The 27,456-nt window shown below is 38.2% G+C and overlaps 1 long non-coding RNA gene across 5 annotated transcripts in view, besides 1 other annotated feature; it reads right to left on the reverse strand.

The window, feature by feature from the left end:
- Window positions 1–22,197, reverse strand: part of LOC105374016 (uncharacterized) — a 137,553-nt gene extending 115,356 nt beyond the window's left edge. For 4 of the 5 annotated variants that reach the window (XR_001740824.2, XR_924286.4, XR_001740822.2 and 1 more), the window contains exons 1-4: window positions 22,152–22,197; window positions 17,901–17,929; window positions 4,426–4,590; window positions 3,105–3,627 (exon numbers count right to left, since the gene is read on the reverse strand). This is a non-coding gene — a long non-coding RNA (uncharacterized LOC105374016). Of the gene's footprint in view, window positions 1–3,104; window positions 3,628–4,425; window positions 4,591–4,713; window positions 4,792–17,900; window positions 17,930–22,151 lie in introns of those variants that run through there. The other variant, XR_001740823.2, reaches the window with a different exon arrangement.
- Window positions 4,276–4,796: an enhancer, noted in NCBI's record as "OCT4-NANOG hESC enhancer chr3:102406508-102407028 (GRCh37/hg19 assembly coordinates)". NCBI's record gives its function as "activates a minimal SCP1, AML or CMV promoter by ChIP-STARR-seq in naive and primed H9 embryonic stem cells {active_cell/tissue: H9 hESC(naive and primed)}" and the evidence as "EXISTENCE:reporter gene assay evidence [ECO:0000049][PMID:30033119]".
- Window positions 22,198–27,456: the final 5,259 nt, after the last annotated feature.

The following is a 27,456-nucleotide window of genomic DNA, read 5'->3' on the forward strand; positions in this document are numbered from 1 at the left end:
CTACCCTAAATCCCTACATTTAATGTTCATCATCCACTCGAACATGTTTGTATTCATAAAGGATATAGTGTTAGTTTTACTCATTTTTGAACTTCATAAGAAATGTCTCACTCTATTGTAGTTTTTTGGAACTTTATTCAACTTTTTACTAAAATTTTTCCGTATTATCCCATGTTACAGCATTTAATTGTGTTAAATTGCTGCAATATAATTATTAATCTTCCTGTTGATGGGAGTTTGTATTGTTTCCAGTTTTTAGTAATTATAATCAGTAATACAGTGAATATTTTTGTCATTATCTCATGATACTCATATGTAAGAATTATTCTTGGGTATTTTCTCAGAAGTGACATTATGGAGCCATGGTTTGTCACTATTTAACTTGTAAAGATAATCTCAACTTATTTTCCAAAGAACTATCACATAGCAGCATTGTATAAAAAGATTATCTTAGTCTCTTTCTCCTTTAACACAAAATATTGTCAAACTTCTTAACTTTAGCCAATTGAACAGGGTTAAAATGGTATCTCATTGAAGTCTTAATGTACACTTTCTTAATTTCAAATGAGATTATTTCCTCATATATTTATTGGCCAAAAGGGTTTCATCTGTTTTGCCCAATGTTTTTATTGAGTTGTGTTCTTCTTATTTAAAGGGATTTGTAGTTCTTTTTATGTTCTTGAAGTTAATCCTTTGTCAATTGTATGTGTTATAAACATCTTTAAGTGTGTCTTGTTTTTTTTTTCTTTTAAATTATGTCTTTTAGTTAAGAGAATTTATTTAAAACACATACAATTTTCAACTTTTTTTTCTGGCTAGTAACTTTTGTTCCTTGTAAAGTTTTGTTATCATGGAAGGAAACAAATATGCCACCCCATCATGCTACTTTGATATATTGACTATTTTGAGCTGAAGGCATTTGGAAAACAGCAAATGCAGGGAGAGGATTTCTCTGAACTCCCCTTATCTACCCAAAGATTGGTCACTCCAAATGAACTTAATTGTCATAAATCCCCTCCCCAGGAGTTTCATCAACCAGGGAAGACTGACTGTTATCACAGGAGAAGAGACTCCAAGTTGACACAACACCCAGACAAACTATCTTCTCTCCCATCTATTCTTCTGTGAGCCCATCCATCTTCCCTGAAAATCACATACCCTCTCCAAAGCGGCCTACATCCCTGTTTCCTTCCCCTATTAAGATAATGATGGGGCTGAGGATAAACTGCCCCAAAATATGCCAACTTGGTATGTGAGAAAGCAGCAGAAGCAGAAAGGCCATTCTCACTTTCCCCTTGCCCTTCTCCCCTGAAGCAGGTCATACATAGACGCTCATTAGAGGAGTACCCTCCCTACATCCACAGAGAAGGAGCTGAAGACACGGACATCAAGAAAAAGCTAAACAAGTAGGCCTCACTCAGTTTTCCCTGGTTGATTGCCATTAGATCATACTCTTGTTCTCCAATCATATATCTCAACAACTGTCCATCTTCATCAAATCTAAGCCTAAAAGCATACGGGTTTACCTGTTATTTCGGATCTTCATTTCAAAGGCTCCCAGGACACTTAAAAGTTATAATAAATTTGTATGCTTTTCCCTTGTTACTATGTCATTTGTTACAGGGGCCTCAGCTGTGAACCTAAGATGGAAAGAATAGACATTTCTTTCCCCTCAATGGCACTTAAGCCTGAATTCTAAGCCACCTCTTGCAGAGTTAATCTTTCCCTGAGTTTTCTCCCATGTATATATGATATATACATGTTAATAAACATTTGTTTGTTTTTCTCCTGTTAATCTGTCTCTTCTTATAGGGGGCCCCAGCTGAGCACTTAGAAGTGTTAAGAAAAACTTATTTTTCCCCTTATACCCTGAAGTAAAAAAAAAATTTATTTAAGCTCTTTTTGAAATTTTGCTTTTTACATTTTAAAGCCTCAACCTACCTGGTATTAATTATTATTATTATTATTATGTTTTTGAGGCAGGATCTCACTCTGTCACAGAGGCTTGAATGCATTGGCATGATCATTGCTCACTGCATCCTCAACCTCCTAGCTCAAATGGTCCTCCCACCTCAGCCTTCTGAGTTACTGGGACTACAGGCATGAACCACCATGCCTGGCTAAGTTTTTCACTTTTTGTAGAGATAATGTCTCACTATGTTGCCCAGGCTAGTCTTGAACTCCTGGGCTCAAGAAATCCTCCAACCACTGCCTCCCAAAGTGCTGGGATTATAGGCTTCAACTATTGTGTCTGGTCCCGGGCATTAATTTTTATTACTGATGTGACACAGATTTTTATTTCACCATTATGAAATATAATGCATTTCAAAGTTCTACTTATCAAATTATTTCCTCCTTCTGCCTTTTGAGAAATAAAGTAAAATCCTAAGTACCCCCATGGACTAAATGAACCCCCTCTTGGCCACGGGGACCCCAGAGAAGTCTTAAAAACTGAGGTCCTCATCATGATGGAATGGGAGGTCAGTCATGCCATGTTATATACACCGATTCTTGTTAGCTGCCAGTCAATTTTCTTTCCTAACGGTTGAACAGAAACCAGCCCTTCGGAGAGACTTGTTCCACCACTGATTTCAATGGACCACCTGACACTGCCAGACTCCCCTCCTTTTTGCATTTCCAAGGTAACTGACCAGCATTCCTTTCTGATAAGAGACCACAGACCAGCAACTGGTTCTGGCTGGTTTATAGAGGCTGTGCACAGGATGCCTCTGTGTCCTCTGTTTCACCTTTTGACATATAGAGCCTAATTTTAATACATTTAAGTCTTAACTCTCCATTCCAAAGTAAACATAGGATGTATGCAACATGAATATCTACTTACTGTGCATGCAGACATCCCCCTGTCATAGATATTTATAGCTCCTCCTATAATCTGTGAAATATATATATATATATATACTTAGCCAATCTATTTGCCATAAGTTTCTGTCTCATCCTTCCCTCCCTCAAAGTGCCTGCTTCCAGTATCTGCTGGAGGCTACAGTTCCCAGGCCGTGGAATGGTCAGTCTGCAGGCTGCAATTCTTTATGAAAAGTAAAGCTGTCCTTTTCAAATTTGTAAACACTGTAATTGTTAGTTAATACCTTTCTAGTGACTTTTATGACTTCATATATGAAACTTCCATAAATGTGAGATTGGTTGTGTTTTGTTCAACCAAAGATTGATGGACTTCACCCCCAGAATTTCTGATTCAGTAGACTTGGAGTCAGTCTCAAGGATTTGCACTTCTTTCAAGTTCCGCGGTGAGGTTGACAGTGCTGTTCTGGATAGCCTACATTGAGAACAACTATCTTATGCTAACTGTCCTTGTATGGCTCTTTCCTTGACTTTGTCTTTATTCCTTTTCTTTCTGACCATTGCTTCAGTGTCTTTGTTTTTCACAAAGACGAGATGTGTTAAATTCTGCTCTTCTTTAAGAAGATGGAGAGGCAGCTGAAAATTATCTTCCCTAGGGAGATAATTTAAATAACACTTAAAATAACAAGCAATCTATTGGCCTTGCTGTGTAATAGGTGGAGTACTCCTTTCTGGCTGCAACAGATTGGGTTTTTACTCTTTAACCATTTCACAGACACTGTTGTATAAGGTGTAGTGCAGACATGAGTCCTATAGGGGAGGATAAAGAAAGGCAAGAAACAAATCACAGCTTGTATTCACGGAGGGGAAAATAAATACTTATTCTGAAATAACTATTCATAGGTTGCTATTCTTTTTTAAAGGAGTTACTTAATCTGTTTAAGAGTAATTTGAAGACTTAAGGTATATTCCCAGGATTTTGGTACTAGCAGCTTCCTGACCTTATTAGCTATGCCTATAATTTATTCGCCTTGGTTTCAGCAGATGCTTGCTCTAACTGAACATGATGACTAAGAAAATCTTCTTCAAACTCTGTCTGTTAGCTTTTCAATCATATTTACCATAGAATAAAGGAAAAAGAATTTTAATTCCCCAGGTAAAATTTCAGATTCATGGGTACTAAGTTAGATCTACGCCTTGAACCTTTGTTTTCTTATGCATTGTAGACAACTTATTTTTCTTGTTATCGTTCTATTTCAATGGTACATACCAAAGACAATCATGTCAACAAAAACAGGTCCATTATTCATTTGTACAGCAAAAATGAATTTATTGTCACCTGTACCAGGTCCTCTGTTAGGCAACGGCAAGAAAATAATCAGCAAGATTGATATATTCTCCCCCGATCTCATAGTCTTGCAGAAAAGATAGATAAGTAAATGAGCACTACCAATTAAACATGGTCTGATAAGTAACATGATAAGCATGCTCTGGCTGGGGTTGATGGGTCATATGGGGTCTGGCAGTGAAAGGATCCAACAATGCTTTGGCATAATGAGGAATGGGCACTACACACAAATCAAGGGAACGAGAACCATCTCTACTCACCTCAGGTTTAAGAGTTGGTACTCCTCATGCTACCCTTCTTCTGCTCTAATCTGCCAAACTTTTATGATCAATAAATATTCATGAGTATGCATTTTGTTTGGAAACCAGTTTCAAAAGGGCAAGCCATAGAGACTCACTTCTCCCAGGAATGCTAACTAGCATTCCCTAAAGAAAGAAAGGGAAACAGGTTCTCAGTTTAGATACCAGGAACCACTAATGATTCCTGGTAATCACCAGTAATCAGCAGTAAACAATAATAGAAATGGAAATTCGGAAAGACTTAATGACCTTCTAAAGTGGGGCATTTGACAAAGCTTGTCCGAGAGCAAGTATGTGTGAGGGCTGCTGGGCTCCCTTATCCTTTTCTTTTCTTTTTTCTTTCTTTTCTTTTCTTTTTTTTTCTTTTTTCTTTTTTTTCAATAATCCATTTTGTCTACAGCCTGAAATTCACAGCAGTGATCAACTGTTGTAAACCAGAATAATAGCATCTTTGGCAGTAATGCTTGCAAAAATAATAGGGGGAATAGCAGGAGGCCTGCGAGAGCACCCTAGGGGGCCGAAATGCAAAGCTTTCTGCAGTTGTAAGGTAATGGGATGAAATTCCTCTTGGCCACCTGTGGTGCAAAATGAAGCCCCCTAAGGGATAAAATCCCACAACAACCTGGCCTGCCTTTACCAGCCTTTACATTCTTCCTCCCCACTTGGCTTTTAGGCTTTATTTATCATTTTTCCCTTAATAAAATTCAAGTAACTTAAACAGCCCTCCAATAATTATTGTGCTTCTATTTTTAAATGAACATCTGCAATCACAGGAAGTATTCATAAAACATCAGTCTTTTTTTGATATAACATCTTCTACTCTGGTGCTGTCACCTTCCTTCAAGTCCCTTGCCAAAGGGGTGCCTGAATGACTGACACTGATAAAGCGAAAGAATGTTTTAAAAAGGGAGGAAAGAAGAAGATATGTAAATCTCTAACATCACTACACTGTACTATGCTTGCAGACTTCAAAAATCAGAGGGTTGAAGGTACATGCTATGTGAGAAGAAAGAAAGGTGAATTACCTTTTCTGAGAATTGAAGGGATCTGATCATGAACTGAAATTTTCTGAGTTAATCAGAAGCCAATTTTAATTCAAGGTAGGGATGATGGTGAGGGAGTGGTTAGAGCTATATTTTTGTATTTGTACATTTTCAGTGCTCTAAAAATGTTTAATGTTGCTATTTATAAATTATTCTGAATTAGAATAGAATTTCAGAGATAAATACAAACTATTGTATGGCCCTCGAGGTATCATTTTTAACAAATCACTAGAAAGTTCTAGAAATACCTCTCATATGTGCACACATCTTTTATTTATTTACTTATTATTATTATTATTATTTGAGACAGAGTCTTGCTTTGTTGCCAGGCTGGAGTGCAGTGATGCAATCTCGGCTCACTGCAACCTCCGCCTCCTGGGTTCACACCATTCTCCTGCCTCAGCCTCCCGAGTAGCTGGAACTACAGGCACGCACCACCATGCCCAGCCAATTTTTTTGTATTTTTAGTGGAGATGCAGTTTCACTGTGTTAGCCAGGATGGTCTCGATCTCCTGACCTCATGATCCACCTACCTCGGCCTCCCAAAGTGCTGGGATTACAGGCGTGAGCCTGCATCTTTAGATATTAAAAGTTGAATATGCCTTTACACTTGTGCCTGATCTCCCCACAATGTGAACTTGTGGAAAAAATCCAAGAAAAGATAAATCTTTAGTTTCCTAAAGTTTATTTCATTTTATATTATGTAACTACCCCCACTTATCTGTCTTTACACCATCTAAAAATCAAATATATAAATGTATTTCATAAATGTTCTGAGCTAGGTTTAGTTGCACATGCATTTCATAAATTTATACTGGAGGAGTTCCTTTGTACTGAAGCTGAAGAAATTGAACAAGGGAATTGATATGAACTTTCAAGAGTAGAGTAAATTAATGCTTTGGTTCTCTGCCCCTGAGGAGCTACATTTGAAATTGGCTAGTGGTCAGAAGTGCAGGAACTTTTACCAGGGTTAGTTTGGGATATACCAGTTGGTTTAAGCACTAGGCAATTAACATGCTTTTCTCAACAGAGTTCCAGAATATCAATGGAAAAGCAAAGGTGTATAGGGTGAAGGGAAAACTTTTCCTTTGCACTCTGACGGTTATTTGGGGGAATCATTTTCTGAACCCCAATAGGTGCTAAAGTAGGTCCTGGTGAACGAGCTCTATCAGCAAAGAGAGAGAAACACACAGGGTGGATTTTTATACTATGCATGTATTTTGTATTTATAGAACATTTTTCCTTTCAACATCTCAAAATAATTCCAAGCATAGTAATCAGTTGGAAGGAGGCTACTGCTGTGCTAAAGACATTAGGATACTAACTCACTAGATTTATTACTAACTCAAGGTCACTCACTATATTGATGTGAAGGTCCAGGGCGTGGAAGTCTCTCTCCGTATATATACAATTAGCTATATCTATCTCTCTATATATATCTATACAGACCTATAGGTAGACAGCTATCTAGCTATCTAGATGATAGAGAAAATGTATATATATATATATATATATATATATATATATATATATATATATACAGACTCTACAGACCAAATTGACTAAAATACTGCCATTCCATTCTCCCTGCACCCAGAACCTAGAATTTTCTCAATGAGAGAACCAAGAAGACACTGGAGTAAGAACTCAGAATCTCTTCTGGATATGCAAAGAGATGCTGAGAGCTATAGGTGAAAGGCAATGTCTGGGGTTCTTTTTTTTTTTTTAAATCATTTTTAAACCATGTAATCTATCCATGTATTCTGTTGGGATCAAAGTATTTAATATGGAGAACACAATGTTCTCTGATGATACTCTTTGATTCTAACTTGATTATCAAAAGTCTTGGAGCTGGAGGACTCTTTCTACCTATCTAGGTCTGCTAAAGAGGTTAGCTCAATATTTAGTTTATAAAGATTGAAGTTTTATTCCTGTGCACAGTGCTAAGCACATAATAGTGATGCAATGTAAATTTGACAAAATTAAATAAATTATTTATGCAAATGTATCTTTATAGTATCTCATATCTACCAACCTCCACTATGTAACAATGCTTTATAACACATAAATATAAGGCAACAACAACAATAACCTACCAAACACCTTTGATTCTATTTTATTGCTTCTTCCTTGGTTCTTGAACCTATGGAATAATTCTGAGCTGCATCAGTCTAAGTGTTCTTCTTCTGATGAATGTATGCTTTTGAAGGGGTGTTGATCTACTAAGACAAGAAAGCTGGAAGCAATATGTCTTGCTTTCGTGATGTCTAGAATAACTTGCAAATCATAATGACATAGGCTGTCTTCTTATTTTTTTAGCTCTGATACTTGCAAAGGTGCCCAGAGGCTAATAAATGATGGGCAAATCTCATAAATATAATAAATACATAATAACTAACTAAATAAATAATAGATATATAGCTTTACTATTGACTTTCATGAGAGATGTGTGTATAGGAAGTAGAGATACAGGTTGACAGTTTTTAAAGTGCTTTATAAAAGGGTCTATTTAAATATAATATATTGCTATTATTCTAAAGGCAAATACACTATAAGTAAAGGGCCTGTCAGCATTTCTTTTGGAAGTTTACATTCTAAGAGTGTGTAACTCAATCCTAAATTGTGCTGTCAGCTGAAATATGCCATATAAACTTCCAGTGTCATTGCCATTTTTTTAAACATTTGGAATCGCAAAACCCCACATTTTTTTCACATGTGGACATTAATCTAAAGTAGAAGTCAGTAATTGCCAATGCTATCAAATTTTATTCCATCTCAATAAGACAATCTTTTTTAAGAAACCAAGGCTGCCAACACTAAGGAGCATACATAATTAGATTTTTGTGATTCTGCTTTATATCAGTGTTTTGGTGAAATACAATGTGTAGGTGGATGCTGTAATACTGGCTTCCAAGTCATTTGGAGGAAAATAATTATGCCTGGGGCACTGGAAAAATTTCAATTTTGAACTAGATATGTGAAAGTATTAACAATCACGCCTACTGAGATGAACTGTCTACCGGTGACATTTAAAACTAGCCTATTCATTTCTATTCTTTATGGGCTAGATGTCTATTTCAGGAATTTATGGCAAACATCTGATCCAAAAGTAGTTATGTTCTTGACAACAAAAAGTGATAAAGAAGCTGTAGAGAGCAATGAAAATTGATGGGGATAGACAGTGATAAACAGCAAAAGAGACCCATTAAAGGCCAAACGACTGGTGAAGCTGAAGAGAAGGGTCTGAGAGCTAAATTGGAGTGCAGGTTGGTCATTTCACAGGTGCAATCAGCCAGCTCTTACCATTTCTGGTTTGTTTTGGATTGAAATCTGAAGGTAACGTATTAGAGTTTGGGTCTGATGTGATTCTGTGGTTGTGAGAGGAAAAGAAGGATCATGACCTGTGTTTTCAGGGAACTTAATATAATAAAATCAGCAACTTTCAAGTTAAGGTCACAGAGCATTTCTTACCAGGATTGAGCAAAATGAAACTGAATGAGAGTGTCACAGGTAAGTTTCCTAGTGGAGTATGGGATTCTTAATGACTTCTGACTTTTAAAAGAATTTTGTAATTTTCTATTCAGATATTAGGGACTCATATTTAGTCAGCGTTTTTTTTTTTTTCAGCATAAGACTGAAAATACAACACGTTGGTGTTTTAGAAGTGAATTTAAGAATGTGTTTCCCTTTCAGCAAACAAAAATATGACAAAATCATATTGGTTTTCTAGTCTTGAGTTCAGCTAAATCTGGGTTCTTGTCCCATGACCAGGAAAATTTAGGCACATAGTCACATTGAAGGGTGAGGAGGACAGAATTTATTAGACGAAAGGAAAGCTCTCAGCAAAGAGAGGGATTCTCCAAGCAGGCTTCCCCATCACAGATAAATACTAGGCCATGACACATGAGCTAAAGATGCCAGGCTCCTCCCCTGCAAAAGGCATGAATTCCTGGTGGCTTCACACCATTTCGCCAGTGGATGTGGGCCTCCAGTTCATTGAGGGCATGTCCAGGCAAGACCCTGTGCAGGCTCCCAAATCTGCACAAAAATATCTGGTGTAAACACTTGTTGGGGGGGGTTGGAGATTCTCCAGGAACCCTTCCTTATCTTCCTAGGCATTTGTTTGCCTCCTGCCTCTATCAGTCTCATCACCAAAATGCAAATAAAAACTGAGTGGAGAAACTTTTTGTTCTCTTCTCAAAAGTAGGTAGAGGGAGTGCCTACTATCATACTGGGCATTTTGTGTATTAGTTCATTTAATTGTTCATATAGCATCTATCTGAAGAAGGAGTTATTTCCCCTTTTATATAGATTAGAAAGGTTAAATGCAAAAAGGTCAAAATTGCCTGCCAGGTTCACATGAGTAGTAAATTATCAGAAGTGGGCGTCAAGAGGAAAATTCCATCTTTGCCCTCTGAAGATTTGCTAAAGAATCAAATCACAAAAGGCAAATTCATTAAAAAAATTCATACATGTTTATTAATGTGTACATAGAAAGAATCATAGAGTGATTTCCTATCCCCTCAGTGGAGTTCAGAACCTTATGTACAATTTTAAGTTTACAGAAAGAATAAAGGCTTGGATCCTGGCAAAACAGGTTATGGTGACAGAATGGGCTACTGGAGGGAGGAGAAGAAGAATTCTGTTGAGAATTCTGTTAAATGATTTCTAGGGAGAATAAATGGAACTGGGAACAGAGATTAACTTGTAAATAGTTCCCTTTGGAATTTGAATGACCCTGAAAGACAGACATTATTTTATAAAAGGGTCTGTTCAGATTACATTTTTGTCTTTGGTGGGTCCAGACTTTAGGCAGATAAAGGGCTTAAGAGAATGACTTTATCCTGTAGTTTAGGGAAGACAGAGGATTGAGTGATGGTGGGAGAGAGGGAGGTTAGTGAGACCTTAGAGGCTTCTTCAGTTCTGCATGTCAAAGTTTCACATTTTGGGTTACCCATTTGTGATCCCTAACATTCCTCTGTCTGAACTTTTCTAGAAGTTTCACACACTAAACTGAGTTGGTAGCTGTGAAGAGAAAAGTTGAGTTAACAGTTGAGTGCAATGTATCCCCTTAAAGCATCTTTCATTTCAAGGAATAGGCCGGTCCCATTAAAGAGACATGTTTCATTTCAGGAGATGTTATGGTATTCTGAATCTTATGAGGTGGGAGAGTACTTTTGGTTAAAAAAATCAAAAGCTGGAAATATTGTGACAAATTAGTCACAATATTAGAAATTATAGTTTAGGAGTCATGCAGCTGGAGGCTACAAGATTCTGATTCTCCCCAAATTGTTCCTGGGGATAACATCATTATTGTAAAACCTAAGATCAGTGCTTGAGATATTTTGCAGATCCTACACTTGATGGATCAACTGGCACCATTCAGATGCATAAACTGGTTCATCTGATCTTGTGGCCCCCACCTAGGAACTAACAGCACAAGAGAACAGCTTCAACTCTCTGATCTCCAACCTAACCAAGCAGCACTCCCAACTTACTGGTCCCTACTTACCAAAATATCCTTAAAAACTCAGATCCCTGAATTCTCGGGGATATTGATTTGAGTAATAATAAAGCTCTGGTCTCCCGCACGCCTGGCTCTGTGTGAATAACTCTTTCTCTATTGCAACTCCCCTGTCTTGATAAATCGGCTCTGTCTAGGCTGTGGGCAAGGTGACCCTGTTGGACAGTTACAATTTCCTGGCTGGGAGTCAAACCCTGGCTGCAACAGTGAAAGCACAGTTTTAACTATCAGACTATAAGTTGCAGAACTGTAGTCCTCAGACTACAGCCTTTATTGTTAATCCTGCAGAGAATCTAAAGAAAGGCAGTTTGAGTATAGAAAAGATTTTAAATTTGTTTTAGGTCAAATTTTTGCCTTTTAATTTAGTCAAGAGAACTTTAAAGGCTAGTCATGACACTATTATGTGTCTTTGTTTTTAAATTTTGATTTTTTCCATAAATTCAAATAAGGCAATTGTTTAGAATAAGGTACTCTAAAATTACAATTAAAAAAATTTAGAGGTCTTTTTAATTTAAAGGATCTATCTTTGCCCATTGATTAGAATTTTCCATTATAATATTGTAATTTTCAATTACTATAGTGACTCAATCCAATAGCCTCTTCATACAAAGCCCAGGTACTCACACAAAATTCACCTCCAGGAATAAGCTAAGATAGCAAAAGAATCTTGTTGTTACAGATGGTTAAAGGTGGTGTTTGCCTTTGGTTACTCATGAATTTGTAGGGACCCTCAGACCCATTAATTTGTGACACCTATTAATTAATAGGCCCTTCTGGGATGGGACTTTCCCAGCACCAACCAAGCAACAGGGGTTGAAATGACAGAAGCCCCTTATGGATGGGACTTATTAAGAGAAACTTTCCTGAGAGCTTGACACAATCACAACAAAAATTATTGGGTTACCAGCCATTTTCAAACTGGCCACCTGAATGACCCCAAAATCACTCCCTTTGGATTGAGGAGTCTCAAGAGTGAATGCTCTCACTTGGTGACAATTCTCAAAGACATAAAACAAGATGAGAGAGAACTTTATCTGGTACCCTTCTTCATGATAGAACCACAAAGAAAGACAATGACGAAGGAAAAGATCATTTATAGGAGTAAAGGGATCAGCAATATGAATATGCATACCAAATAGTACCAAAAAGTGCACCAGAGTTGCTACCCCCAAGACTAGTAACACAAATTCTTTTCTCTCATTAATCAAAATTTTGGAGGGGAAAAAGAAGTCAACAGTGATTTTTGCCATCTGCTTGACTGGATTCCATCTAGAAAGAGAGGCTAGGAACCTGTCTGATAAGAGTTTCTTAACCTTCTGCCAGCTTGTCAGGTCCTGGGTTCCCTTAACTTTGGCTTCCAAAAGAGTAGAGCCTTGGTATCCCGCTCTTAGGGTCAAAACTGTAGGGGCCAAGGGAAAAACTTCCCCTCCTCTCTCTGAAGGTTCACGGAAAAATCGACTCAGAAAAGGCAGATTAATTGAAGAAAAAGCAAACAAATGTATTAACATGAGTGCATGAGGACAACCACCGAGCAATTACCCACCACTTCCAGTGGAGCTCAGAACCTTATATAACCTCATGAGCTTACAGGAAGAATAGGGGCTTGGATCCTGGCAAACAAGTTATGGTGGAAGAACAGGCTATGGTAAGAAGAGAAGAGGAATCTTGTTGAGGGGCAATAAATAATGGCTAAGGAGAACGAATGGAACTGGGAACAAAGATTAACTTATAAACAGTTATCTTTGGAATTTGAATGAGCCTGAGAGACAGGCATTATGTTAAAAGAGTCTTTTCAGGTGTGGTTACATTCTTCTCTTTGGGGGGTCCATACTTTAGGCAGATGAACTTTAGAGAACAACTTCATCCTGTGGTTTGGGGGAGACAGACAATTAAGAGTTGGTGGGAGATGGGGTGGGTGGTCAGATAGACTTTGAAGCTTCTTCAGTTCAGCGTGTCAAAGTACCATCACTTGGGGTATCAGTTTCTAAGCCCCACCACAGAGATAAGTCTTTCTGGCATCAAGTCCATTCTCTTGCTGTGAAAACATATCATCTTCCATAGAAAGTGTCAATCTGATATGTTATTTTTAGGATTAGTAATTTTCTCAAAAAATTAAAATACTCTGATGATTCATATTTCAGCTGTTATCCATTAGTGTATACTAATCAATGCATAACACTTAAGGTTTTACAAACTGGCTTTGTAAATTCCAAAGCTGAGACATGATCATGACACTCTTGTTGATTGACAAATAAGATTGTTAAATGCATCAGGGCAAAAACGTTGTCTTCTACTTTTTTCTAGTAACACTTCTATCCTCAACTCTCAGCACACTGCTGGGCTTGAAGTAGGTTCTCAAAGAAAGTTTCTGATATATCTAAATGTCATCTAATAGCATTTGAACATCCATAAAGATAAGGACATTTATGTAGCTTCTTTTATATCTACAATGAAATATGAGCTCTCTTTATTTTATTTTACTGTAGGATGCTGGGTATGCCTGTGTTTTTCTTTGGGACTGTGATCACCCAATGGGTTCGTCCTGCTTGCTGCACAGACAAAACCAATTCACTGAGACCTTGGTATTGCAGTAAAGAAAGAGTTAACTAATGTGAGGCTGTCCATGTGGGAGAAAAGAGTTATCACTCAAATCAATCTCTGCAAAGGCTTAGAGTTTAGGGCTTTTCAAGGATAATTTGGTGGTGAGGGGACTAGGGAATGGGTGCTATTGATTGTTTGGGGATGCAATCATAAGGGTGTGTAAAATGGTCCTTGTGGGCAAGGCATGGTGGCTTATGCTTGTAATCCTAGCAATTTGGGAGGCCGAGGTGGGTGGACTACCTGAGGTTAAGAGTTTGAGACCAGCCTGGCCAATACGGCAAAACCCTGTCTCTACAAAAAATCCAAAAATTAGCCGGCCATGGTGGCATGTGCCTGTAGTTCCAGCTACTCAGGAGGCTGAGGCAGGAAAATCACTTGAACCTGGGAGGCAGAGGTTGCAGCGAGCTGAGATCATGCCACTGCATCCCAGCTTGGGCAACAAAGCAAGACTCCATCGCAAAAAAAAAAAAAAAAAAAAAAAAAAAAAAAAAGGGCACAGTGGCTCACACCTGTAATCTCAGCACTTTGGGAGGCCAAGGCGGGTGGATCACGAGGTCAGGAGTTCCAGTCCAGCCTGGCCAATATGATGAAACCCCATCTCTCCTAAAAACACAAAAATTAGCCAGACGTGGTAGTGCATGCCTGTAGTCCCAGCTACTTGGGAGGCTGAGGCAGGAGAATCGCTTGAACCTGGAAAGCAGAGGTTACAGTGTGCCGAGATTGTGCTACTGCACTACAGCCTGGGCAACAGAGCAAGACTCCTTCTAAAAAAACAAATAAATAAATAAATACAAGGTCTTTATTCACCTCTAGGCTGGGAACCAGAGAATGGTTAAGTCATGAATCACAAGTCTGGATGGGGTCAGTCGGAAAAAACATTTTAAAAGACTAATCCCAGGTTCTACAATAGTGATGGTATCTATAGAAACAACTAGAGAAGTCCTCAGCCACATGAATCCTAAGCAATAAGAATTTATAAAAACTACACCTACATTTTAGTATATTTCAGACCCCTTCTATAATCCTACTCTTGCAGCCTTTCATTAATTTTACAAAGGCAGTTTTTGGTCCCTGAGTAAGCAGGGGGTTAATTTTAGTGGGGGACTATTATCATCCTTGCTTTCAAGTTAAACTATAATCTAAATTCCTCCCGTGGTTAACCTGGCCTATGCCCAGGAATGAGTGAGGACAGTCAGCCTGTGAGGCTAGAAGCAAGATGAGTCTGCCATGTTAAATTTCTCTCATTGTCATGATCTTTACAAAGGCGGTTTCAGGACTTGTGTTTGAGTTAACTTGCCTCTCCCAGGAAAATGCTTGGATTATCTGTTGGCTTCTCTTACACACAAGCTTCTGGATGAGCTCAAAGGAGGAGCTACAGGTAGAAAACTCCTTTGCCCAGCCAAAGGGTTAAGAGCAGAGAAGAGAATATCAACAGAAAGAGCACATTTTGCTTCAGGGTCAAAGTGGCTTTATGGCAGAGGCAGAGCGACAGGCGGTTCTAGGATATGAAGCACCTGCATGGACCCTCTACAGACCCTCTGTTCAGTGAGGAGTCATAGAAATAGGAATGGACCTCAGGATTGTACGAGAAGAAGATGGGAGCCAAACATAGCAATTTAGGTATGGAATCAGGGATCAAATGGTTTATAGTTTTTCCAACTAGTCCCTGACTCCCCACTAACCGCTTTTCTGAACAAGCCTTCCCTGGCATTTCACCTCTTAAAGGTATCTACAGAAGTCACTTATTTCCTTCTCAGACCCAGTCAGAGGAGTTGGGAATTTGTCGTTGATTCCATTGCTCTGTGTTAATTATGAAGACGTACTAGAGATACAAATGTTTACCCAACCAATGGAAAAATATCTCTCAGACTCAATGTGTGCTAAAAAAAAATAGTTTTCCTAACTACTAAATTTATATTACTAAAGAAAGATAATTATATCAATATTCAGTAGTTAAAGTCTCATTTTACAGACTTGTGTCAGCTTTTCTTTTCCTCTAACATCAAATGGTACAACAATTTGAAGAAATATTCTGTACAATTTAAAAATTCAATCCAAAAATGGGATAGCTTGAATTGGCACAATATCTCTTTTAGCCATCTATTCTAAAGTCATTTTTAGAAAGTTCTCAGTGTTTTCCATTTTATGTATTTTCATTCGTGATTGCTCTTGAGTATGGAAAAATAAAATCCCTCCTGTGTGGAAGCCTGATTGCCCATATGTGACTGTCTAAGAGTCAGTCTTAGACATGACTAAATGTGACTGTCTAAGAGTGACCAGAACTAGTTTTGGTAAAAGGGACACTCAGGTCATTGTGGTTCAGACCTGAGACTCTGACTCCAGGCTGGAAATGTAAATGGAACAGTGTCTTGGAGAAAAATGGGCAAAATGTGGAATGAATGGTTCTTTGCTTCCCTATTTTATTTTTTCGTGTCATCATACTGACAGAAGCAACTAAGGAAAGTAAAAGCAATGGTATGAAGTTTTATTTTATAATATATTAAAGAAGATGAGTGCCTTTGGACTGAAAATGAATATAATATATACAAAGTTTGCCTGGAAGCAATTTTTTTTTCCTCATAGACAGTTATAATAAGTTTGTTCTGGAGGCTTATGGGTTTTATAATGGAAATGCTGAACCAAACTTAACAGAGGCATCATGTGAGAGCGTGGATATAATAACAGCTCTGAAACCTCCAGAACAAGAGGACGATGAGATCCTCTGTGAGTAGGAGGAAAAGACTGAGATGTACATAAAAAACGCATGCCAAAAAAAGAACAAATATGTGTTTTCAGTATTGCAGCCCAACATTTTGAATTATTTGGGGAATGATTTGGGTGGCTGTCTTCACAATGGAGTTAATTGGTTTCTTATTTTAGCCACTGCATTGGTTCAACTTCACCCTGTTCCATTCTAAAAATGCATCAGCATATCAGTCAGCTGCAGGGCACTTGACTCAGTGTGCGTGCCTGCTATGAGATTAGGGTAAGTGTATTGGAACTTTAGAACTCAGATTCTGAAAGTTCACAATGATAGGTGATCTCAACAAGCAAAGCAAACCAGATCAAGTTCCAATGAGGGTGAATCTCTACCACCCCTCACAACATTATTTGTATTTTAAATCAATCTATTTGGCCTTGGGTCTCTTTGAGTATGTTACACTTTGAGTGTTTATCCACAACTATCTTATAAAGTTTTGTTGTTGAATTTCCTATGTATTAGACCATCAAATAAAATGGTGATACTTTAGTTGTGAAGACAATTAAAAACAGAATATAATAAAACCAAAGAGTATCAGAACCATCTTTCTTCCTATTAACTTGCACAACTGCACGTGTGTCAGCAATCACAGATTAAGGAAGCAATTAGTCTGAACAGGAAAAACGTGAAGCTGATACTTAATATACTAACAGACTGTGAGCTTGAGAGCCTCTATTTTTGGTATGGTTGCAAGCATCATTGCAAAGATCAGTTCTATCATATCTCATCATGCTAATTGAATTTAAAAAGCCAATACTGGTAAATTGCACCCCTATGTCACAAATTTGCATTCTAGAGATTTATGGACCCTAGAGTTAACTGACATAATGATTTATATCACCTGTGATTAAAAATTGAATGGCTTTGTCTTGATGTTGTTTCTAAGGAATTAGACTCCTAAAACAAGAAATTGTCAAGGAGTAGCATTTAGTGCTTTTCTTCACAGACCACTTCTACAGTGCTTAGGGACATGTTTATGAACAAGCGATGCCAAGGGGAAAGGTAAAAGTGGAATGTCAATTGTATGTACTGAAATAAAGTTCATAGAGCTGTTGAATGTAAGCAAATAGGGGAGGAAAATTAAGGCAATTTTCTTTCCAAGAGCAACTGTTTTTTCCTCTGCTTCAATCTTCCATTCTCTTTTGGTCCACTGACTCCTCACTTCCCACCCCCATCACACACATGTGCACACACATATAGACCCACACACACATACACACTTGTATTTAATGAAAATCTTTAGAAATGGATAGAAATTACGTTCTTCAGATACTTTCTCAGTTCCCATGCTCAGTAGCAATCAGTGCTTCCAAAATATCTTAAATTTCTAAAGTAGACTCTGAGCAGATAAAAAAACATCAGAATAAACAGGTATTTGTGAAATTACTGATAAAATGCAAGGATTTAAATCTTCTTTATAAGTTATAATAAACAAATGCAATAGTACTTCTAAAAAATTCTGTTTACTTACTGGTCATTTCACCCAAGGTAGGAACCATTGACTTACTTTTATAAAATAATCACTTTTTCATTCACCTGGAGTGGTAAAAAATGGTTTTTAATTAATCAGCACAATTGTCAATCTTTCAGAAAGAAAATAAACCTGGATTTTATTTCACATTAAAAACTAAACTATAGGCCGGGCACAGTGGCTCACGCCTGTAATCCCAGCACTTTGGGAGGCCGAGGCCGGCGGATCACCTGAGGTTAGGAGTTCAAGACCAGCCTGACCAACATGGAGAAACCCTGTCTCTACTAAAAAAAAAAAAAAAAAAAAAAAAATTAGCCAGGTGTGGTGGCACATGCCTGTAATCCCAGCTACTCGGGAGGCTGAGGCAGGATAATCGCTTAAACCTGGGAGGCGGAGGTTGCAGTGAGCCGAGATCGTGCCATTGCACTCTAGCCTGGGTAACAAGAGTGAAACTCTGTCTCAAAGAAAAAAAAAAAATCAACCCCCCCCACCAACAAAAAAACTAAACTATAGATGCACTAAATATTTAAATTTAAAAAACTATATAAATTATACATACTACAAATACACATATATAAAAATCTATGTATAATCCAGCAGTTCGGATGGATTGTGTAATAAAGACAAAATTCCCTGCTATAAAAACAAAAATCCCAACTAAAACAAATAAAAAAACTACATTTGACTATATAAATGTTTACAAAAAATATTTCTATGGTAAAATATAATACACACAAAGTTGATAGCAAATGATTGAGAGAAATATTCACAATGCTTATGAGAGATCAACAATTATAGAATAAAATGAGCTACTAGTTATGAATTGATATGAAAATGACAAAAAGAAACAATAGAAAAATGAACAAAGTGCATGAATAGGTAGTTCACAAAAGAATAAATTCAGCGAGCCAATAAGCATACTGACAGCAGCTCAGTCTCACTGGTAATCGGGAAATGCTTGCTTTAAAAAATGACACACACCTTACACTTAGAAATAAAAATTATAAGAAGGAATAACACTTCTTGTAGGGGTCATAGAATAAAAGATAGGCTCACATTTTGTTCATAGAAATGATATTTTTTAAAGCTTTCTTAGAAAGAAATCTGGCAACAGCTATTAAAATTTAAAATGTACACACTCTTCAACTCAGCATAGCCTCAGCTGGGAATCTATTCTATGGAAAAAGAAAACACTAGCTCATATGAAAACTGAAAACAAAGTGGATGTCCATCAAAAGGAGAATGTTTGAATAAATTAGTGTTAATCCATAACATGCAATAATTTAGCTAGGGAAAATGTAAAATTTTCTCTGGGGCAGTTGACTTAGGAGACATTTTCAAGATGTAGTATTAAATGATATAAACAGAAGACTGATAAGCACATAGACTCCAATCATTCTAAGTAAGACAAACAATAACAACCTCTTCTGCATGATTTGAGAATAAAAAGGAAGAAAAAAATAGAAAAAAGGGAAAATTTAAAAAATAAAAATAAGAAACTTTTTATTGTTATGTATTCATAATTATAAGTTATGAAAGGACACCCACCAGATTGTCAATACTGGTTGTACAGGTAAAGGGGGAAGAGAAGACAAGCAAAAGTGTACAAGAAAATGGAAAGAAGTCAATAATAAAAACAGTGTTTGCTATCATCTCGATTATGCAAATATTTACCAACATTTTGCTTGTGGAAATTTCAAAGCGGTGACATTTCAGGGGATTTATTTTTAGTTTTATTTTTTGAGACAGAGTCTCCCTCTGTCACCCAGGCTGGAGCAGTGGCATAATCTCGGATCACGGCAACCTCTGCCACTTGGGCTCAAGAGATTCTCATGCCTCAGCCTCCCAAATAGCTGGAATTACAGGTGCCTGTCAAACACCCAGCTAATTCTTGTATTTTTAGTAGAGAAGGGGTTTCACCATGTTGCCCAGCTGGCCTCAAACTCCTGGCCTCCAGTGATCTGCCTGCCTCAGCCTCCCAAAGTGCTGGTATTGCTGGCATGAGACACCATGCCTGGCCAATTTTCAGGAGATTTATATCCTATAGTTATAGCTGAGAACCTAACTTTGGGAATAAGATGGGTCAAGTAACTATAAATAGTTCCGAGCTACCTAAAAGAAGATTTGAATACTGTGGGAATTTTGTTTTTCCCTACAAATAAGATTACTGAGGCATTCCCTCTCTTTCCCATTTAGAGAACAGGTTTTCCCCAACTCTTCAATTAAGTGTCTATGCTTCAATCCTCCACAGTATAAGGGAATTGGGAACTCATAAAAAATCTTAAATGAGAATCCTGCTAGGGCAGTCTCTGCAGGAAAGGCTGTGCTGTGTTGGAAACGGCTCCTGGAGTTTGGTGGAGAAAGGATGCCTACATGTTTCTGGTGGGTAAGACGTAGATTCCACTTAAGGGATCCAGACTGGGGTCATCTGGAAGAGTGCTTTGTGCAAGAGTTCCACCCAGATGATTAACTGAGCCCAAAGGAGGGTGCTGCAGATGATAATTGCATTCCCCTAAAATTCATACATTGAAATCCTAACCTCTAGTGTGATGATATTAGGAAGTGAGGCTTTGTGAGGTGATTAGGTCATGAAGGTGGAGCCCTCATGAATGTAATTAGTATCCTTATAAAAGAGACCTGAGAGAGCTCCCTCATTCTTTGTATTATGTGAGGATACCAGGAGAGGGCACCATCTATGAATTAATGATCCAGCCCTCACGAGACACTGAATCTTCTGGCACCTTGATTTTGCACTTCCCAGCCTAGAGAACTGTTGACAAATATATGTTTGTTGTGAAAGTCACCCAGTCTATAGTATGTTTGTTATAGAAGCCTCAATGGACTAAGACAGAGGGTGTCTGAATGGCACATGCTAGTGAAGGCTAGTCTCAGGGGGCATATTTCTAATTGATGACCAGAGGAGGCATTGCCCACATCATGAAGTAGTTTCAGCATCAAGTGTCTTTCTACAACCATCAAAAGTGTTGCTTGAGAGAAAGAAGTCAGATTGAACATCTGTCACAGCAAGAGAGTAATCATGTCAAATTGCAACTATGCTAGTCATGTGAGACTTTTTTCTCTTACCTTCCTCTCTTCCCAACAACTCCTCCTCACTACTGTTCCACCACACTCACCTGCAACTCTGTACAGAAACAATGTAAGAAAAATGGACAAAACCCACTCCCTCTCCCACAGCAGACTTCCAAGCCTGAGCCTGGAAGAGAGAAGCCTTAAATTGAATGAGATGCTGAAATGCTGTTAGTAGACTGCACTACAAAGTTCTTCTCTGAATATGGAAATCATTTATTAATTCATGCAAATGTCCAAGAAAATTATAGGCCCCACTTGAAATCTCATTCAGAGATAGGGGAAAACAAGTCAAACAGGGAGATTTAAAGAAGTGCTAACAGGCCGATGTGGTGGCTCACATCTGTAATCCCAGCACTTTGGGAGGCCAAGGTGGGTGGATAACTTGATGTCAGGAGTTAGAGACCAGCCTGGCCAACATGGTGAAACCTTGTCTCTACTAAAAAAATAGCCAGAAGTATGGTGAGTTCCTGTAAGCCCAGCTACTTAGGAGGCTGAAGCAGGAGAATTGCTTGAACCCAGGGGGCTGAGGTTGCAGTGAGCCGAGATCATGCCACTGCACTCCAGCCTGCATGACAGAGCAAGACTCTGTCTCAAAAAAAAAAAAAAAAAAAAAAAAAAATTGCTAACAATGCTGTTTGTACTTCACTGAGTCTGGCTCTTTGAATGAATTAACTGAGTTCATTCAATGAGTTAAGTACAGGTCTGCTTTTATGGGTGGTTAAAGAGTATTTAAATGATTATGCATTTTTTATAATCAGATAAAGAAATCTAAACTGTTTCCTTTGTGAAAAGAGAATTACATTCAGCACTTCAAAATACAAAAAAAAAAAAAAAAAAACAAATTGTAACATTGGAGTAGCTCTGACTGAGGGCCCCATCCACAGGGCCTCTTCCTCAGCACCGATCCTCACTCCATTCCCACTTAGTATCGTCTTCACCCCCTCTCCCCATCTTTAAACAGTTAGGCTCCTTCACAGAACCTGAGGGATTTGTGGTGCACAGTGTGAGCATCACTGATTTAGAGCATGCATAGCAGGTGGTTTCTAAGAGATAATAATAATAATAAAAAGGTTTTTAGAGTACCTACCATGTGTCTGTCACTTCACATGTTATCTCTTTAATCTTCATAATAACCCTTTGATAAATTCCAATACTACTCTTAGAAGCTGAAACTTATAGTAATTAACTCAAGGTTACCTGGTAAAAGAATTGAGGAGTGAGTCTAGGTTTGTCTGATTTTTGATGCTTCTGATTTTTACATGATGATACTATACCACACAGTGTGGATAGGTAAAATTGAGTTACTGAAGTCTACTGAAAATAGATTTCCAGAAATCCACTGCCCTTTGTCAATGAGGGAGAACATGAAGAGTCCTGAAAGAAGACAGAGTCACATAAGCATCTTCCTCTGCACTATTAAATAGCTCTCTTTCATCTAAGAGCTCACCCAATACTAAGACTCACCTTTTTTTCTTTTTTCTTTTGGAGGGGGGACAGAGTCTCGCTCTGTCATCTAGGCTGGAGTACAGTGGCCTGATATCAGCTCACTGCAACCTCTGCCTCCCGGGTTCAAGTTATTCTCCTGCCTCAGCCTCCCAACTAGCTGGGATTACAAGGGTGCACCACCACGCCAGGCTAATTTTTTGTATTTTTAGTAGAGATAGAGTTTCACCATGTTAGCCAGGATGGTCTTAATCTCCTGACCTTGTGATCCACCTGCCTCGGCCTCCCAAAGTGCTGGTATTACAGGCGTGAGCCACCGCACCCGGCCTAAGACTCACCTTTTTAGTAATCTAAGAGGAACTGAATGATCTGATGAGGTCTGGGAGATATAAAGAATTTGGTCCATTGCCTTGTTATATGTCTGGGAATTATTCCTTATATAAGGATAAAATTGGTATTCTTTTACCCAATGCTGTTAAGATAATGAATAAGGCCGGGCGCGGTGGCTCACACCTGTAATCCCAGCACTTTGGGAGGCCGAGGCAGGCGGATCACGAGGGCAGGAGATCGAGACCATCCTGTCTAATGCGGTGAAACCCCGTCTCTACTAAAAATACAAAAAAATTAGGCTGGCCTCGTGGCGGGTGCCTGTAGTCCCAGCTACTCAGGAGGTTGAGGCAGGAGAATGTCCTGAACCCAAGAGGCGGAGCTTGCAGTGAGCCGAGATTGCACTACTGCACTCCAGCCTGGGGACACAGAACTCTCAAAATGGAAGGTAGTTATGAATCATTCCTTCACTCAGTCAGTCATCAAATATTTGCTGAGTCCCCACTATGTTCCAGGTACTAGTGCAGAAGAGACAATATAATGAAAAGCAAAATCAACAAAAGTTATGACCTCCCAGATCTTACAATGTACAGGTAGAATATCCCTTATCCAAAAGGCTTTGGACCGGGTGTGTTTCACATTTCTGATTTTTTCTGATTTTGGAATATTTGCATTCACATAAGGAGATATCTTGGGGATGGGACCCAAGTCTAAACACAACACTCATTTATGCTTCATATATTCCTTATACACATAGACTGAAGGTAATTTTATACAATTTAAGAAATAATTTGTGTAAAATACAAAGTTTGCATAGATTGAACCATCAGAAAGCAAAAGAATGGCTATCTCAAGCACCGTGTAAATACTTCCTACTTTTTTTTTTTTTTTTCTTGAGACCGAGTCTCCAACTCAGCCTCTTGAGTACTACAGGTGCCCATAACCATGCCCAGTTTACCATCCTCTTTCTTTCCACTGCTAGCCATGGGAATATTTACAGGAATTTTTTTGGTGACATTTTCCAGCAATATCTTTATACCATAGAACAGAGAATGAGAGAAAAAAAAAAGCATACGGAGTAATGCATGTAGGCCTTGGCCCCATGTAGAGCAACATGTAGAGCAACCTGCTGTTGGTGCATCTGGCCTGCACACATGCCATTTTATTACCCTTTGTGGGCATGCTTGTGTGGGGAAATATGGGCTTGTGTGGAAAAGATATATCACAGATGAAGAGGGCTGGGAGGGTCTTTTTTTCCTTGGATATGTTAAATAAACTGTGTGTATTGCATCCATGTTTTGACTGCCACCTCTCACATGAGGTCAGGTGTGGAATTTTCCACTTGTGACGTCAGGTCAGCACTCAAAAAGTTTTGGATTTTGGAGCATTTTGGATTTGAAGATTTTTGAAATTAGGAATGCCCAAGCTTTGAGCAGGTATTGTAGAAATGACATTAATAAACAAATAAGAATATATTTATAATATCATGTCAGATAATACATATTTTGAAGAAATATAAAGTAGGCTGTGTGTACAGCACAATGGGAGCTGTTACTTTAAAAACTTCTAAGATGACATTCAAAACCTGAATAAATCTTGTAGCTCTATGTGGAAAAGTGTGTTTCAAGCAGAAGGATGAGCAGGTACAAAAACCTTGGGAAGAGATATGCTTGTTATTCTACAGGAGAAACAAGGAGGCCAGAGATGAACTACTTTAAGGGTGTCAGAATAAAGTTAAAGATGCAGACTAGATAGATTTTGTATTATTATGTGACAATATTTTGTTTCATCTTAACACTCTCTCGTATATCTTTTAAACACACTGAGGATAGGAGAATAACTTCTCATGGTAACCCTAAACAAGATGAAAGAAAACTAAAAAGGTATGGGCTGAACCCCATTATCACCACTCGGTCTGAAGGGCCAGGGCAATGAGTACCTTACTGGAACCCCAAAAAGAGCTGGAGCTGGAGCTATAGCTATGGGGACCAGTCAGAAGCTGCAGCTTGTCATTGGGCATCGGAGACACTGCCAACCCTCAACCCCAGTGATGGAGCTGGGAAAATAACCCAGATCTCTCTCTTCACTCTCCCTTCAGTCTCCTGTTCTCTTCATTGGCCAAACCCAATTAGGGGTCAGAGTGGCCCAAGGGACCCAGATGAAACAATATATAGGGATCCACTTCCTGGTGCCCAAAGCAGGGCGGAAAATGATAGAAAGAAAATCTGGTAGGTCAAAGAATATCTGGGTCAGAGAGAATACCTAGTACATTTACATTTTATAAATGAATTTATTAACTAATATTTTTGTATGCCTACCTAACCCCGTGTTAAGTGCAATGGGGTATTTCAAATGTAAAAAGCAATATTGGTCCTCAATGAACCTAGTTTTTGGAAAGAGTTAGATATGATACCAATGTAGAGTTAAAAAGTTAAAGTTCAAACCTTGGAGTTATGGTGTAAATTTGGGTAACTAAATTAAAACATTTCGGAATTGACTTTCTCATCTATGAAAGAACAGAAATGGTACTTTCCTCATTGGACTATGTTGAAGATTAAATGAGTGGATTCACGTAAACCATTTAGGACAGCTCTTGGCACACTCTAAGCACTTAATAAGTTGGCTATTAGAATTATTGGCCAAGCCTGATATAAAAGCCAAAGCCCTACAACTGTTCCCTCCCTAGTGGAGGGAGGATAACTCTGGAGGGGACTAAATGAGACATTTCTAAGGTCTATACTAGGTATTAGGATTTCATGACAGTTCCTCAAGGTCACAGTACAGGTATAGGCACTGTCAGAAATGCTGCCTATTTCCTACATGAATTTAACCAACCAAGCAGACTTCCTCCCTCCTTCGAGTCTATAAACTCTATAAAGCAACCCTACTCAGTATGGACATAAATGAAATATTGCATCAACTATTTAAATGTTCTAAAAAGCATATATTAAGGAAGATGGTATTGATGATCTAAAATACTTACTGGCACTTGAATCCAATGTAGTAAAGGCATTTTATAAATCAGCCGACAGCCCTTGGGTACTGAATCTAAATTTTGAGTTTGTGAGCCATATATCACAGATGTCTTTTTGCAGGCTATGCTTTCCCCCTTGGAAAGCTATTTATTATTTTTATCAATATTAATGTAATTGCCATTTTTTTTTTAGATGAAGTATGTGCGTCTATCCGTATCTGACTTGGACAAGTTTTTCTCAGATCAATGAGAAGCATACTGCTGGCTTTTCCTTTCTCTGTAAAATGTTGGAATGTTTATCGCTAAGTTTTTTTTTTTTTAAACCAAGTGTCACTAAGTAGTTGTAATTTTAATTTATTTTATACTTTGGCTAATGGACATTTCTAATCAATAAAATACTAGGAATTTTCCCTTTGCAAGACAGAAATCAGCTATTAACTAAAATGGCAAAGTAAATTACCCCCTATCCCCTTACAGCACATGAGACTTTTGGAGAACTTATTTTTCTCCTGTGGTTGTGCCATGCACAGGTGCGGTAAGAAAGAACAGGTAGCACCTCTTTCTCATGTCATCATTTCTTTATTAAGTAACAGTGATATTTTATTAAAATATTAAGGGTTGAAAGGAAGCTCAGAAAATGCTGAGAGAAAATCTTGCCTTTTGTAAATAAGAATATGTGGAAATTCAACTTGGTAACCTTAGTTTGACTAGCTTTTAAAATTTTCTCTGTTGCTAAGGGAACTTAATGATAGATATAAAAATGTCCTTAAAGCAAGTTCTTCGAACAAGCTTTTGCACAACCGTCATCACAGCATTTATAAGCGGCAACCCCATCAATATGGAAGAGAGAAAAGCTAGAAGTGAAAATTGCATCATCCCTCCTATATCAGACAAGTTAATTAGTTGGTCCATAATCACAGACTCTGCTCCAAATGAAAAGCACAGCTTTGTTCCTTTTGAACAGAAAGGCACAGAAGGTACAATACCCACATAATTCATTAACAGTAATACTGTTTTGAAGGAAGAACTGCTGAATTTAGATTATTCTGAACTCCAACTCGTAATAGCCAAAGTTGTGATAAGAATTTTGCAGTTTCCCAAAACAAATTTAAAATGTGAGAAATTCCTTTTGTGCCTATCAGAAGCAACCTTAAGAGTCTGGCAGATTGTATAAGATGCTTTTTATTTTATTTATTTATTTTTTATTTTAAAGATATTAGGATACTATTTGGGGTACAGTATAAGCTATGGAGCCTTGTTATTGAAGAACCAGTTAAGCATGTCAGATCCAAAGTAGCTCCTAAAACAACTTGAAAAATGGGAAATTTGGGATCTAAGTTCCGGATTGTAATGTTTTAACCATCTATTTAGAATAATTTAAAGAATGTATCTGTATATTAGTGTCTACGGTTCTAGAAGTTTCAATGATTAGAGAAAAAGGGCTTGAAGGTCATGAAGCCTGTTACAGGTGGAAAGGAAATGCTGACTGATTAGAGAGTCAGGAAGCTGGAAGGCTAAAACAAGAGAGTGAACTAGAATAGGCTGCTAGTTCACCGCTAACTCTCTGCCCCCTCAAATCTACCTGGAGAAACTGCAGAAGCAGAGAGAAGCCTGAGTCTGGAAGAGGCATAGGGGGCTGCCTGGTCAAACCACAGCTCTCGGAAGACAGTGGGGACAGAGGCTTTCAGTTATCTTGCCTCTGACTCGTTGGTCCATCACTTCGGGACTGTTCTTACCTCACAATTGTCACAGAATTCT

Source organism: Homo sapiens, chromosome 3 (genome assembly GCF_000001405.40).
Source record: "Homo sapiens chromosome 3, GRCh38.p14 Primary Assembly".
Lineage (NCBI taxonomy): Eukaryota > Metazoa > Chordata > Mammalia > Primates > Hominidae > Homo > Homo sapiens.